Source organism: Homo sapiens, chromosome 5 (genome assembly GCF_000001405.40).
Source record: "Homo sapiens chromosome 5, GRCh38.p14 Primary Assembly".
NCBI lineage: Eukaryota > Metazoa > Chordata > Mammalia > Primates > Hominidae > Homo > Homo sapiens.
In genome coordinates this window covers 60,133,011-60,147,017 of record NC_000005.10, presented here as the reverse complement: position 1 = coordinate 60,147,017, position 14,007 = coordinate 60,133,011, and the positions used below count along the sequence as shown (strand labels likewise).

The following is a 14,007-nucleotide window of genomic DNA, read 5'->3' as shown; positions in this document are numbered from 1 at the left end:
CACCAACAGGGTACAAGGGTTCCCTCTTCTCCATATCCTCCCCAATATTTATTATCTTTTTTTCTTCTTCATAATAGCCATTCAACAGGTATGAGGTGATATTGTGGTTTTGATTTGCATTTTCCTATGATTAGTGATGTTGACCACTTTTTCATATATCTGTTGGCCATTTGTATGTCTTTTAAGAAATGTCTATTCCGATCCTTTACCTTTTTAAAAAATGAGTTATTTATTTTCTTGCTATTGAGTTCTGTATTTTGAATATTAACTTCATATCAGGTGCGAATATTCATATCGGATGCAAATATTTTTTGTTATTGTATAGGCTGTTTCTTCATACTGTTGGTTATTTTCTTGTGGTGCAGATGTAAGCTTTTAGTTCGATGCATTCCCATTTATGTACATTTGCTTTTGTTTCTTAATACACCTTTGTATTGAGTAGATCAGATCCTTTATGAAAGCAAGAAGGGATCAATGATTACCTGATGGAGAAGAAGAAAATTGTGAGGAAAAGGGTCAATGAGGACATTCTTTGCTGTTTTGCAATTTTCCAATGAGCTGGTCTTGATATTATGTTTGCGTAAATAGCTTGGTCTGATCTTGGACACTAAATTCCAATCCAGCAGGTTCTATCTGGAAGGAGACTATATGATGGTGGAGACACAAGTCTGAAGGTGAAATATTGCACGATGTAGAAATAGATCAACCATGCACATTTATAGAACATCTACTACCAGGTGCTAGGTTCTGTGCTGAGCAATAAACATAATTCCTCTGTAATTTTTGTTTGTTTGTTTTGTTTTTGAGATGGAGTCTCACTTTGTTGCCCAGGCTGGAGTGCAGTGGCGCGAGCTTGGCTCACTGCAACCTCCGCCTCTCAGGCTCAAGCGATTCTCATGTCTCAGCCTCCTGAGCAGCTGGGACTATAGGCGCACGCCACCACACCTGGCTAATTTTTTGTATTTTAGTGGAGACGGGGTTTCACCGTGTTGCACAGGGTGGGCTTGAACTACTGAGCTCAGGTGACCCGCCTGCCTCAGCTTCCCAAAGTGCTGAGATTACAGGCGTGCGCCACCACACCCAGACTCCTCAGTAATTTATAACCTAGTTGAAAGATTTGGACATATGTATCACAAGATACCTATGAACAAAGGCAAGGGCATATCTTATTTATAAGATGTTTAGATAGATTTCAAAGGAAGTTTTTCAGCCAAAAATTCCATCATGTTTCCATTTTTGAAACTAAATACCAACATATCTCAAATTCAGATCTCAATTACTTCTACTGGCAAAATGTAAAGACCATTCCCTCATTCATTTGTTATTTCTCCAAGTATCCTGAGTACTGGATATCTGAAAGGCTCTCTGCTAGGTACTTTGTAGGGTAGGAAAACCTCAAAGGATGTGTGGAAATGAAAAAAGTTTCCAAATACTTCTTCAAATTTTGTGAAACTTATCAACTGAAACAAGGTTGATTTGGGTCAAACAAGGTTTGTGAAGTAAAAGCAAAGCAATTTTAAATAGGCTAAAACCCCATGGGTTGCAATGAAAGCAATGTTAAGATGACTCTTAAGTAACTTAGAACTGTTGAGGACTTTGGTAATTAAAATCTCTTCCTCATAGCTCCCCCAGCAATCAGGAAACAAGGATAGTTTGGATTAAGGTCTCATAAATAAACATACAGCTTGTCAGTCCTTGGAGATGGAGAAGTCATTCTTGAGTGTGCCACATGGAGGGCTCAGAGATAAGTGATGACCCTCTTGTCACTCTGGCAGAAAATATATTAACTTCTTTAAACCAAGAATTATAGTGATTTCAGTGGTACAATTACAAGGAGTGACTTCTGGGACTTGCATAAATCAAGCTTATTTAAATAGTGTTTCAGAAAAGAACATATGCTACTATTAAAGAGTTGGAAAAAAACAACTGCAATCCCATAAGATAAAGTTAGGTGAGAATATTCATATTTGTTTCAGATACAAGTCCATTATTTATGTCAAATAATTAAATACCTCTTTAGATATCCATTCCAGGGGAGGCTCTTGAGCCTTTCACCTCTCTCATGTCCAAACTTACTAGTTATTTCAATACTGAAATAATTCCAGTTGTTCATGAATTATTTGATGAGATTTAGAGTGATCTATATTAGTTAATTCATTTATCAGATTTGTTGAATACCTGTTATGTGCACTGGATGGCAATTGGTGCCATGTTGTATATACATTGGACAAAGGCAAAATTCTGTCTTGGGATGCTTAAGTATAGTGAAGAAGAATGACAAGTGCAAAAATATCTAATTCCAAAGCTGAGAGAGGAGAGAAAGATTATTTAAGTTGGTATGGTCAGATAAGTAAAACAGTATTTTAACTAAGCTTTGAGAAATAGATAGAATTCTACTTGGAACATTGAGGAGGACTCCATGGAAAAGTAATAAAATGAATGAAGACCAGAGCCAGGCTGGAAAAAAATCTTTTTAATGGAATAGCAGTGAGCAATGCAGAAAAGCTAGAGATCATCTTACTGCTGTGCACTCTAAATATTCCCCATGGCTGCTACCTTGTCCAATTCCCTCACAGTCCTGCCTGCTACAGAAAGCGTAGCAGTTTTCTCTTTATCGATGATGAGCAATAGAAAGAAATGCTTCACTCTGCCTAGGCAACAGGCACATTTAATATGGGATTTCTGTTGACAGTGCCTTAAGCCATGGAGCTAGCTAATCAGCACCTTACTCATTGTATGACAGGAAAGAGAAGAGATCTGGGAATGAGCAGATCATTCAGCATTCCTGCAAACATGGAGAAACAGAGCCAGACAGCTAGCTCTCCCCTCCCAGTTTCTATGAGTTCCAATGTGACCAAAAGCCTTATCTTGGCCTTTGCACCTGGAGGTCACCGCTGCCGCTGGGAGGATGAGTGGAGGAACTTGGGATGTACATGATAGGGTCAGCCAGCCAGCAAATGAGTGTTTGCAGAGTGACTAGGGAGGAGCAAAGGAGAGCTTTCACTGCTGTAATAGTCCAGAAGTTGCTGCTGAATCAAGCGAAAAGAATAAGCAAAGTGTTTCAGAAGTCAGCCTGCTTCACATCTTGTTGTTCATTTATTCCCTCTATTCTGACCACTGAGCCCACCAAGCTCTCCTTCTTGATATAACTTTTATCATATTTAATATTAGGGCAAGACTAGTTTGGGATCTTATGTGTCTAATTTATATAAATGTAGCAAATAGTCTTTTTGATGGTAAGATAAACTAGTGAATTATCTCTAACATAATCAATAAATTTTCTTATTGCTGGGTGTTTCTCAACCATGGTTTCGCATTAAAATCATCTAGCGAGCTTAACCGCCCCCTCCCCAAAACACACACACATACACACACACACACACACACACACACACACACACACACACACACACAATTCCCAAGCTGCTCCTAGGTCATTTATACCAGAACTCAGGTTAGGACTCAGGCAATGGCGTTCTTTAAAGCTCTGCAGGTGATTCTAATGTGCCGCTGGAGTTGACAGCCACTGTTCCAAATGTCTTGAAGATGAATAATAAAATCCAGATTGGTAGTGAGTAAAAATATATGTGTGTCTAATGTGTAAGTCTCAAATTATTAACATTTCTCAACAATGTATTTCCATTTTAAAAATCATATTTTAAGGAATGACCTTCAAAATTTTGTTATAGAATATTATTTTAGTGATGTTTCTCTGTTAGTAATGTGAAGCATGTTGCACATAAACTGTCTGGAGAATGTGGCATTATTTGCAAACATGTCAGAGAATGCAGCAGATTTTACAAAGGTTTATGAAAACAATATGCTTCATTATTTGTTCACATAAAAAGTAACAAAATTAGCTTCCTGTTAAACAGAAAGCCCATAGAGTAGAAGAGAAAAGGGTCTGGTTCCTTATTCACTCCCAGCTACCGTGAGGGTGTCTTATTGCCCAAATCCAGGACATCTTTGACTTTTTCTTCTCTTGACTGTCTAATCTAATGTCATGTAACTATAATAATTCAAAATAAAAGTAGTTAAAATTTAAAAATATATTTAAAGACTATCAAGATCTGTTGATTCTACCTCTGCAAATTTTCTTTCACACCTTCATCATTTGTCCATTTTTGTGGCCACAATCCTAAATCAAACTCCCTGTTACCTCCTGCCTTGGTAATTGTCATATGCTCCCCATGCAAATTTTTTCTCAGACATTGCCTCTGGCCAAAGATCTGATGGCATCATGTTTTTCACTCATCTTCAGTGGTTCTCTGCTACCCACAGTAATTTTACAAAACATTAGCTGGGCATTCAGGTTCTCCGTCATCTGGCCCCAACCTTATTCCCAAGACTTCTCCCCTTTGTGTATAATACTATGAAATGATCTAACTGTTTGGTAGTCCTGGACATGGCTATGTTCTTTCTGCTGTCAGAACCCTGGCTCATGCTGGTGTTTCTGCCAATGCCTAAATCCCACCCAGTATAGAGGGCTCAGATTTCATCTGCTTCACAAAGCCCTGAACTACAGAGTTAAAAGTAATGTTTTTTCTACTGTAATCACATCGCAGCACATTATCTGAACCATTTTAAAAATATTTCCCCAGAGTCACTTAATCTTTCTGAGCCTCTGTTCTTTTATTCATAAAATGAGAACAATAATACCTACCTAAAAGACTGCTTGTGAAGAGTATGATTATGTGTGTACAAAGCATAGTGCGCAGTAGACAATTTTCAAATCTTTCTTTCTTCTCTCTCCTTTCCTTCCTTCTTTCCTTCCTTCTTCCCTCCCTCCCTCCCTCTCTCCCTCCCATCCGTCCTTCCTTCCATCCTTCCTTCTATGTATTGTCCATTATAACTTTGTAATTTCCTTTTGGGCAGGATCCTGTGATTGGTAAATTTTTGTTTTCCATGCAGTTTCTAGGCTAATGCTTTGCATGTGTAGGTACTCAATGTAAAGGTACATGTTTTAAGTGAAAGGACCCAAAATTCATGACTTGCTGTACAAATGATGATCAGGGTTTAGGAGAGGAGATATAGACCAGAAATCTAGTTGTTGTTTTGAGTTATTATTATTACTTAAATTATCCTATATTTTTAGGTTAAAAACTCATTGAGCAAATCATTATCTTGATGAGAAATCAAGAGTCAGGTTAAGTAAATTTATTTTGGTTAGATGTCTTCTAAGCATCAGTTAAGGATTCAAACCAAGGCCTCTCCCATGTGAAAACATATATTGTTTCAGCTTATCAGGATTGGTTAGATTATCTCCAAGATTATGTCTATTTAAATGGCAGTTATTGCAGATAATATCAATGTCCTAGGTCCACAGGAAGGCAAGAAGTAGACTTAGCAGTAAGTTGCTGAGCAGGAATTCTGAAAAGGGTGACCAGGATCAGGTGAAGCACGTCCAGAGAGTAAAGGGGGTAAGCAAGCTCTTGTTATTAGCCCATATGTACTTACCCTGGGCTCACCGAAGAGTCCTAAAGCAAAGCTTGCTGTGGCTGCAACCTAAGGATTGGAACAAGTCTATAATCCTTCAAGAGCCAAGTGTGGATTTCTCCCTTCTACTCTCTGCCTCAGTATATTTTCCATGTTTTCTTACTTGTTCTGTTGCTGGAAGTTTCCTTCTTTCCAAGAGATACTCAGTTTTAAAGAAGCCACAGGTGTCTTTGCCAAAGCTTGCTCTCTGCATCCTGTTACACTCTTAGAGAATCCCCTGATGACGTCATTCAAGACAGCCTACTTTCGTAATTGCTGTGGAAGGGGCAGAAGGTCCTGCCACTACATTGCTTTCTGTCACCCACCCCCAAGATGGAAGAACAGGTTGTCTCTGAGGAATTTTGATTTGGGGCACATTGATTCCAGTCTCTCTTTACTGGAGCTTGAAATAGGGGGGCCAATTTTCCTATAAAAAAGAGTATGAAACTGATATCCAAAGAGACACACGATGAGAATCTATGAACTCCACGAAAAAAGAGCTGATAATTATAATTGTCTTCATTCTTGGTAGCTTTCTAGATGGGTTCTAATCCCGCAAGGGGCTTAGTTGCCTTCCTAGCTTTGGCGTCTATAAAATAGTCCTATAACCTTTTAATAAAGGTTTAATAAAGGCCTAAGCCCACATGAGTGAGTTTTATACATTCAAACAATCTCCTAAGTGTGAGAGTTAATTAATTTTTAAACTATTCTCGAAATTCAGCCTTAATTTGCTTTTGCTTAAGCTGGGTCACTAATCTGTGCTGAGGACCCATTATCCATTCTTTGTTAGGTTCTACAGTTTACCTCTAGGGTACATTTCATAGTCCTTAATGTCTCTTCTGTATAACTGATTATTTATGGAATTTCATGATGCGTTAAATACTTTGGCTGAGTAGCAAACACATTTCATCTAATCTTTCAATTCCACAACAGTACTACTGGGCAACATTTTTATTCTTGGTGGATACAATTTCTTTCTTTTTTTTTTTTTCTCCTTTTATTCCTTCCTCCTTTTCTCTCTCTTTCTTTCTTTTAAATGTTTGTGATATCAGGATATAAAGAGCCAGGTAGAAGAGCACAGAATTAGAAACCAGAAAACTGAGTCCTAGTCATCTCATTTCTCCTGGCTTCACTTTTACCCTTAAGTGAGGAGACTATACCCGAGTTCCACCTAGCTTGCAAATTCTATAATTCAATTATTCCATCACCATTCTGAAATATACCATGTAATTATAGAAATTACTAGAAAATTTTTTGAAATACACATTTCCCAAATTTATTTGACCATGGAATACTTTTTAAATAATTATATATTGGTAGAACATATACGATAGTTCATGGATATAATATGCACTTTGATTAAAGAATACAAAAAAATGGTCTGCAACAATTAATTGCTTCAAGAAATGATTAAAAAATTCATTCATATTCTAACTTAATTACAGGACCAAAACAATAATACAAATTAAATAGATTAAGTCATTTTATTTTTATTAAGTACATAAAAAAGACAAAAATGGATGAAATGATGACAAGTTGCATAACATGGAGCAGTGATGATTAAGAGGCAGTGTATACCAGTAAAATTAGTTGGTAAATACTACTAATAGATACTTAGCATTGACATTAAAATTAATATTTATATGAAGCTTTGACATTTAATTCTACTTCATGCATTCATGATACACCCAATCACTTGTTTTGCAATTATTTCAATGTGGATTCTTGCATAATAACAATTATAGATGTGTGTTTAAATATATTAAATATATTTTATAAGAAACAATGTTGTTGGTAATTTTTCTTCTTAGACTACTCAGTATCTTATAGTTTGAGAAAAACAGACCTATCTGAACCTAGATACTATATATGTTTCCAACGAGTAGCCTATTTTTCCCTTCCTTTTCCTCTATTGCTCACGTGCTTACATGCATTATTATTGGGTTATATATTGAGTTATTCTCTCGTTGGCTTTTGTATTCTGTGGCATTACATATCTTTGATAGCAGTAAGTTTGACACTCAAATTTTGTAGAAGTCAATGGCAGTGGTCCTTTTATAGGTTTAAACTTACCTGACTGCATTATATCCCTTGAGAATAGTTTTAAGGGATTTTCATTGAAACTACTGTATATGATTAACATATAATGCCTCCTATTATGAACTTGGAATATGCACATTAAAAGAGTTATAAGTTACAGTTAATCATTTGTTCATTGCTTTCTTTATAGATCTTGAGAAAAACCTGATGAGTGTAGCATTGCCATTTTGTAACTAATCCTTCATGTAATGAACCTAAGCTTCCATTATTGTGAATGAATTAGTCTATTTAGGAACCGCTTTGGCTTAGCGGTGAACTGTATTTCCTACTTAAGGAGCCAAACATTAGGAAGCAACTGTAGCAGTGTACAGCAGCAACTTCATCATTTTGGAATTTTAAAATTCTACCTTCAGGGATCTTAGAACCATCCTAGCTTCCGAGATCTCACTGTGAGTACTGGAGTGAGCAGAGTTGTACCAGGATGGAGAGATTGCTAATTTCCAAAAATGGGATTACTGAGTTAAAATATAATCCTGCTTTCAGCTAAAAACAAAAAAACCCCAAAAAACCAAACAGCCCTTTATGACACAATTTCACTATCCTGAACGCAATTTTATTTCATTGATTATAAACAATGTGAATGTAGATACCAATATTGCAATTATGACTAATAATTGGAGGCAATTATTTATAGTAGTTATATATCAGTATATATATTTACCATTTATACTGATATTAATGACTGTGGCTTTTTAATAGTGGCCACAGAAGTCACATAGCATGGTTTAGTGAAGTTTGGTTCACATTTGTAGGCACTTCAGAAATATCATCTTTGAGAACACACACACACTTAAGTTCAGTGAGAACGTATATAATTCAAAGAATAACATAAGCAATGATTTAAACTTCTATGTATGTTTCAGTCTGCCTCAGTGTTAGCAGCAGGAAAATTATTCTTTACAATAATGAAAGACATTTCCAGATTCAAAAAAAAGGGAAAAATAAAAACCATGGAAATAATATATTTGGAATTACAGGGCTACTAGCAATCTAAGTGTTGTGGAAAATCTTGGTAAATAGTTCAGTGAAATTATATAGATAGAAGATTGATTGAATAAACCTACTCCAAAGCATTGATATGCCACAGCATTCTTCCTTTGGCTGTGTTCTGCCCAATATTTTAACAAGGGGTTGCATCAAAACAGAGTGATGCTGATCAACTCCTGAAAAATATTTAAAGTTAAAAGAAATGCTAAGCAAAAAGAACAAAGCTAGAGGCATCATGCTACCCAACTTCAAACTACATGCTACAGGAATACAGTAACCAAAACAGCATGTTACTGGTACAAGAACAAACACATAGACCAGAGAAAAAGAATAGAGAACCCAGAAACAAGACTGCATACCCACAACCATCTGTTCTTTGACAAACCTGATAAAAACAAGCAATGGGGAAATCATTCCCTATTCAATAAATGGTGCTGGGACAACGGGCTAGCCATATGCAGAAAACTGAAACTGGACCCCTTCCTTACACCATATACAAAAATAAACTCAAGGTAGATTAAAGAATTCAATATAAAAACCAAAACTCTAAAAATCCTGGAAGAAAATCTGGGCAATACCATTCAGGACATAGGCACAGGCAAAGATTTCATGACAAAAATGACAAAAGCAATTGCAAAAAAAAGCAAAAATTGACAAATGGGATCTAATTAAACTAAAGAGCTTCTGCACAGGAAAAGAAAATATTAACAGAGTAAACAGCCTACAGAATGGCAGAAAATTGTTGCAATCTATCCAGCTGACAAAGGTCTAATATACAGCATTTATAAGGAACTTAAATAAATTTACAAGAAAAATACAACCCCATTAAAAAGTGGGCAAAATACATGAACAGACACTTCTCAAAAGAAGACATTCATGTGGCCAACAAACATATGAAAAAAAAAATCACTGATCTTTAGAGAAACCCAAATCAAAACCACAATGAGATACCATCTCACACCAGTCAGAATGGCTGTGATTAAGAAGTCAAAAAACAACAGATGCTGCTTATGGAGAAAAACGAATGCTTTTACTCTGTTGGTGAAAGTGTAAATTAGTTCAACTATTGTGGAAGACAGTGTGGCAATTCCTTAAAGACCTAGAGGCAGAAATATCATTTAACCCAGAAGTCCCATTACTGGGTATATACCCAAAGGAATATAAATCATTCTGTCATAAAGACACATGCACGTGTATGTTCATTGCAGCACTGTTCACAATAGCAAAGACATCTAAATGCCTATCAATGACAGATTTGGTAAAGAAAATGTGGTACATATACACCATGGAATTATGCAGCCATAAATAAAGAATGAGATCCTGTCTTTTGTGGGAACATAGATAGGGCTGGAGGCCACTATCCTTAGCAAATTAATGTAGGAACAGAAAACCAAATACCACATGTTCTCACTTATAAGTGATGATCAGAACGCATGGACACATTGGGAGTGGGGAAACAATACACACTGGGGCCTTTCAGAGGGTAGGAGGGTGAGAGGAGGGAGAGGATCAAGAGAATAGCCAATGGATGCTGGGCTTAATACCTGGGTAATGGGATGATCTATGCAGCAAACCACCATGGCACAATTTACCTATGTAACAAACCTGCACATCCCGCACATGTACCCATGAACTTAAAGTTGTAAAGTAAGAAGAAAAGAACTTGTCTAGATGCAAGTTAATCTGAAAAAAATTTATATTAACTGAGCACACTCCCAGCCCCAATAACATAGGTGTTTTTGTTTAGCAAGGAATAAGAAAAGAATGGATATTGGGTGGATACCTAATAGTAGTCTTTGTCAGACTGAATCGAGCAGATATAATAAAAAAGGAATGTGTGACAATGCTATGGTTTAAAAATAACATGATACCCAGCACTTTGGTAGGCCAAGGAGGGTGGATCACTTGAGGTCAGGAGTTCGAGACTAGCCTGGCCAATATAGTGGAACCTTGACTCCACTAAAAATACAAAAATTAGCTGGGCATGGTGGCAGACACCTGTAATCCCAGCTACTTGGGAGGCTGAGGCAGAAATTACTTGTACCTGGAAGGAAGAGGTTGCAGTGAGCTGAGATCATGCCAGTGCACTCCAGCCTGGACAACAGAGCAAGACTTCATCTCAAAAATTAAAAAAAAAAAAGATAGTCCAGAAATAACAAGACACAATCTAACAGGAAAGAAAGGTTAATTTCTTATTTAGGCTTTAAGAAAAAAATTTTAAAAAGCAGTAGCGCAAGTACAGAAAGACCTCATTCTCATAAAAATGGTAGTTAATTGCAAGTACTGTATCAAATATGTGATAAGTCTATCTAAAAATCTTCTAAATTGAATCTTTCTTGAGGGAAAGAAAATCAACATTAATTGAAATATTATTGCTCAGACAAGAAAGGTAGCAGTAGTTCATTGTGCTCAAACAATTGTCAGACCACCTATGGAATATCCTGTACAATGAAAAATTACAAGTTTCCCAGAGTGTGTTCTTCAGAGCAGTAGCTCTTAGAACATTAATGATTATTATGAGAAGGGAAGGTCTATTGTCAAAGAAGCTTGGAAAGGATGAGTTGTTAAGCAAAAGGTGTCTTTTGAGCAGTACTTTTCATGGTCTTTAATATACCAATATGCATTGCAGCTGTCCAAGACAGGAGGCCATTAAGGAAGCCTGAAGAGAAATGTCCCACCTTAGTGTCCTGAAAGGATATGCACTCCTCTATAGCTATTTACTTTTTACTTTCATCCCCTGACCTTTCTTCCAGCACTATGGTCCTCTCTTCATCACTTCTCTCTATTTTGATTATTTTCTTCTCCAGTGGCTCCTAACTTCTTTCTACAAATGCATTTGCTCTGTCTGATAAAAATCATTTTAACTTTGCTTCTCCATCCAGCTACCTTCTTTTTTTACCCTTCCTGTTACTGCTTCTGGTATTCGATGGTTTTTCCTTTTCCCTTCCCCCATTTTTGAACGATAGACTACTTTTTTTCATAGCTCATCTTGCACGTTAGTCTTCCATGAGATATGCCTGTAGGCATGCACAACTAGAGATGTTAAGTAGAGGCAGAAAGAAAAGAAAGACATCTGGCAATTAGATCTGACTTTATCCATTCTGGCTGTTATAACAAAATAGCATACACTCAGTAGCTTACGAACAATAGAAATTTATCTCCCAAAGTTATGGAGGCTGGGAAGTCCAAGATCAAGGTGCCAGAAGATTTGATGTCTGGTGAGGGTGTGCTTTCTGGTTCATAGTTGGCACCTTATAGTTGTGTCTACATGGTTAAAGGGGCGAAGGGTCTCTCTTGGACCTCTTTTATAGGGCCACTAATGACATCTCAAGTGCCCCATCTCAAAATATTATCACATTAGTGATTAGGTCTTAGAATATACATTTTGAAGGGACACAAACATTTAGAGCATTCCAAGGTCTTATTTGTTTTTCAGTGGTTAAGAGTTTCGTCAGGGAGGAGGAGTAGAATTATGTGAGCTTACTTCAGAGCAGAGTTTACTAATCTTCTATGTGTGTGTATGGAGTGGGTGTAAATCCTGAATCCTTTCAGTAAGAAGGGTACACCTATGAATGCCTTCTCAGTACACTTGGCCCTCTGTACCCATGGGTTCTGCATCCTGGGATTTAACTAACCATGGATCAAAAACTTAAGAGAAAAGTTTGCACTGGACATTTACGGATGTTTTTTTCTTGTCATTATTTCCTAAGCAATACATTATAACAATTACTTACATAACATTTACGTTATACTAGGCATTACAACAAATCTAGAGATGATTTAAAATATATGAGAGGATGTGAATGGGTTATAGGCAAACACTATGCCATTTCCTATCAGGGGCTTGAGCATCCATGGATTTTGGCGTCTGCCAGAGGTCCTGGAAGTAATCTCCCACGAATACTGTGGGACAACTGTATAATAGTTTTTTGTTGTTTTTAGTTTGTTTTTGGAGACAGGGTCTGCTATATCACCCAGGCTGGACTGTAGTGGTGTGATTGTAGCTCAGTGCAGCCTTAAACTCGCAGTCTCAAGCGATCCTCCTGTCTCAGCCTCCCTAGTAGTTAGGACCACATGTGTGGGCCACCACCTGGATCATTTAAAATTTTGTTTTTGTGGAGATGGGGTCTCTACAAAAGAGATGTCACTTAGGTAGGTCTCAAACTCCTGGCCTCAAGTGATCCTCCTGCCTTGGCCTCCTAAAGTGCTGGGATTACAGGCAGGAGGTACCACACTCAGCCTGTATAATGTTTATAAGCACAAAATAAAATTGTAGAATTAAAAATGAAACCAGTTGTATTAAAACAAATTATACAAATATTAAAATAAAAATTTGGTATAGTTATATATGTGCATCTTTATTAATGTATTAAATCATAAGATCCAGCAGATCACATATCTAACATACTTAATTTTGAAGTGCTTGCAAGAAGTCTAATGAGATAAGAAGGTATCTATGATTTTTACTGGCAACAAAGTCACAAACTACAGTGGTTTGGTAACTATATTCATAATTGAAGAAAATGGTATTTTTCAGTTACAAGTTAGTAAAAATACAGATGTAAACTTGTCATACAAGTTTACCAATCTCCTGAATTCTTTGTGGACTCCAGGTTAAAAACTACTAAATGGTAGAGTATATAGTTACAAGGAGTCAGATTTAAGCTCATTTTAAGTATATGTATTATGTGTATGTAAAGCCTTAATAATTAAGATGTCCTAGAATGAAAGGATTTTCTCACAAAGTAGTGATCTACCTGTTAATGGAAACGTCCAGTTAGCATCTAGAAAAATATTGAGGATGTTGTAGTATAACACTAATTAATATTAGCTAGCATCTACTGAGTGCTTGCTGTGTTTTATGCACTGGGTTAGGAGCAATTTTTGCATTGTGTCTTTTTTTTCATGATAGTTACGTCAGGTTATCTCTGTGTCATAGATAATACAATTTAGGTTTTGATATTTGTTAGAAGTTGACTATAGCCTGCAATCCCAGCTACTCAGGAGGCTGAGGCAGGAGAATCACTTGAACCCAGGAGGCAGAGTTTGGAATGAGCCAAGATCACACCACTGCACTCCAGTCTGGACAACAGAACGAGACCCCGTCTAAAAAAAATTAATAATAAATAAATAAATAAGTTGACGGCAATAAGTGGCAGAGTATGAACTCTAACCCATATCTAGGTGTCTCCAAAGCCTATAATTGGAGAATATTTTGATAATAATGTAGGAGAGAGATTGGTGAGAGAATTAGAGATCACCTTGTTCATCCTCTTTATTTGATAGATATGAGGACACTGAGAACTCAAAGAAGTTAGGTGACTTACTCCAGGTTACACAGTTTATAGCAGAGCCAGAAATTGGACTTTGATGCCTTTTTATGTGGAAACATGAGCTTTTATTATTTAGCTCTTCATCTGGTGGAAGTGGAACACAACCTGAAGA

At 36.8% G+C, this 14,007-nt stretch overlaps 1 protein-coding gene across 15 annotated transcripts in view; it reads left to right on the top strand.

Annotated features, from left to right (window-relative positions):
* The window catches only part of PDE4D (phosphodiesterase 4D), a 1,553,091-nt gene that overhangs the window by 375,111 nt on the left and 1,163,973 nt on the right, over positions 1-14,007 (top strand). The gene's annotated exons all lie outside the window — the stretch shown is intronic.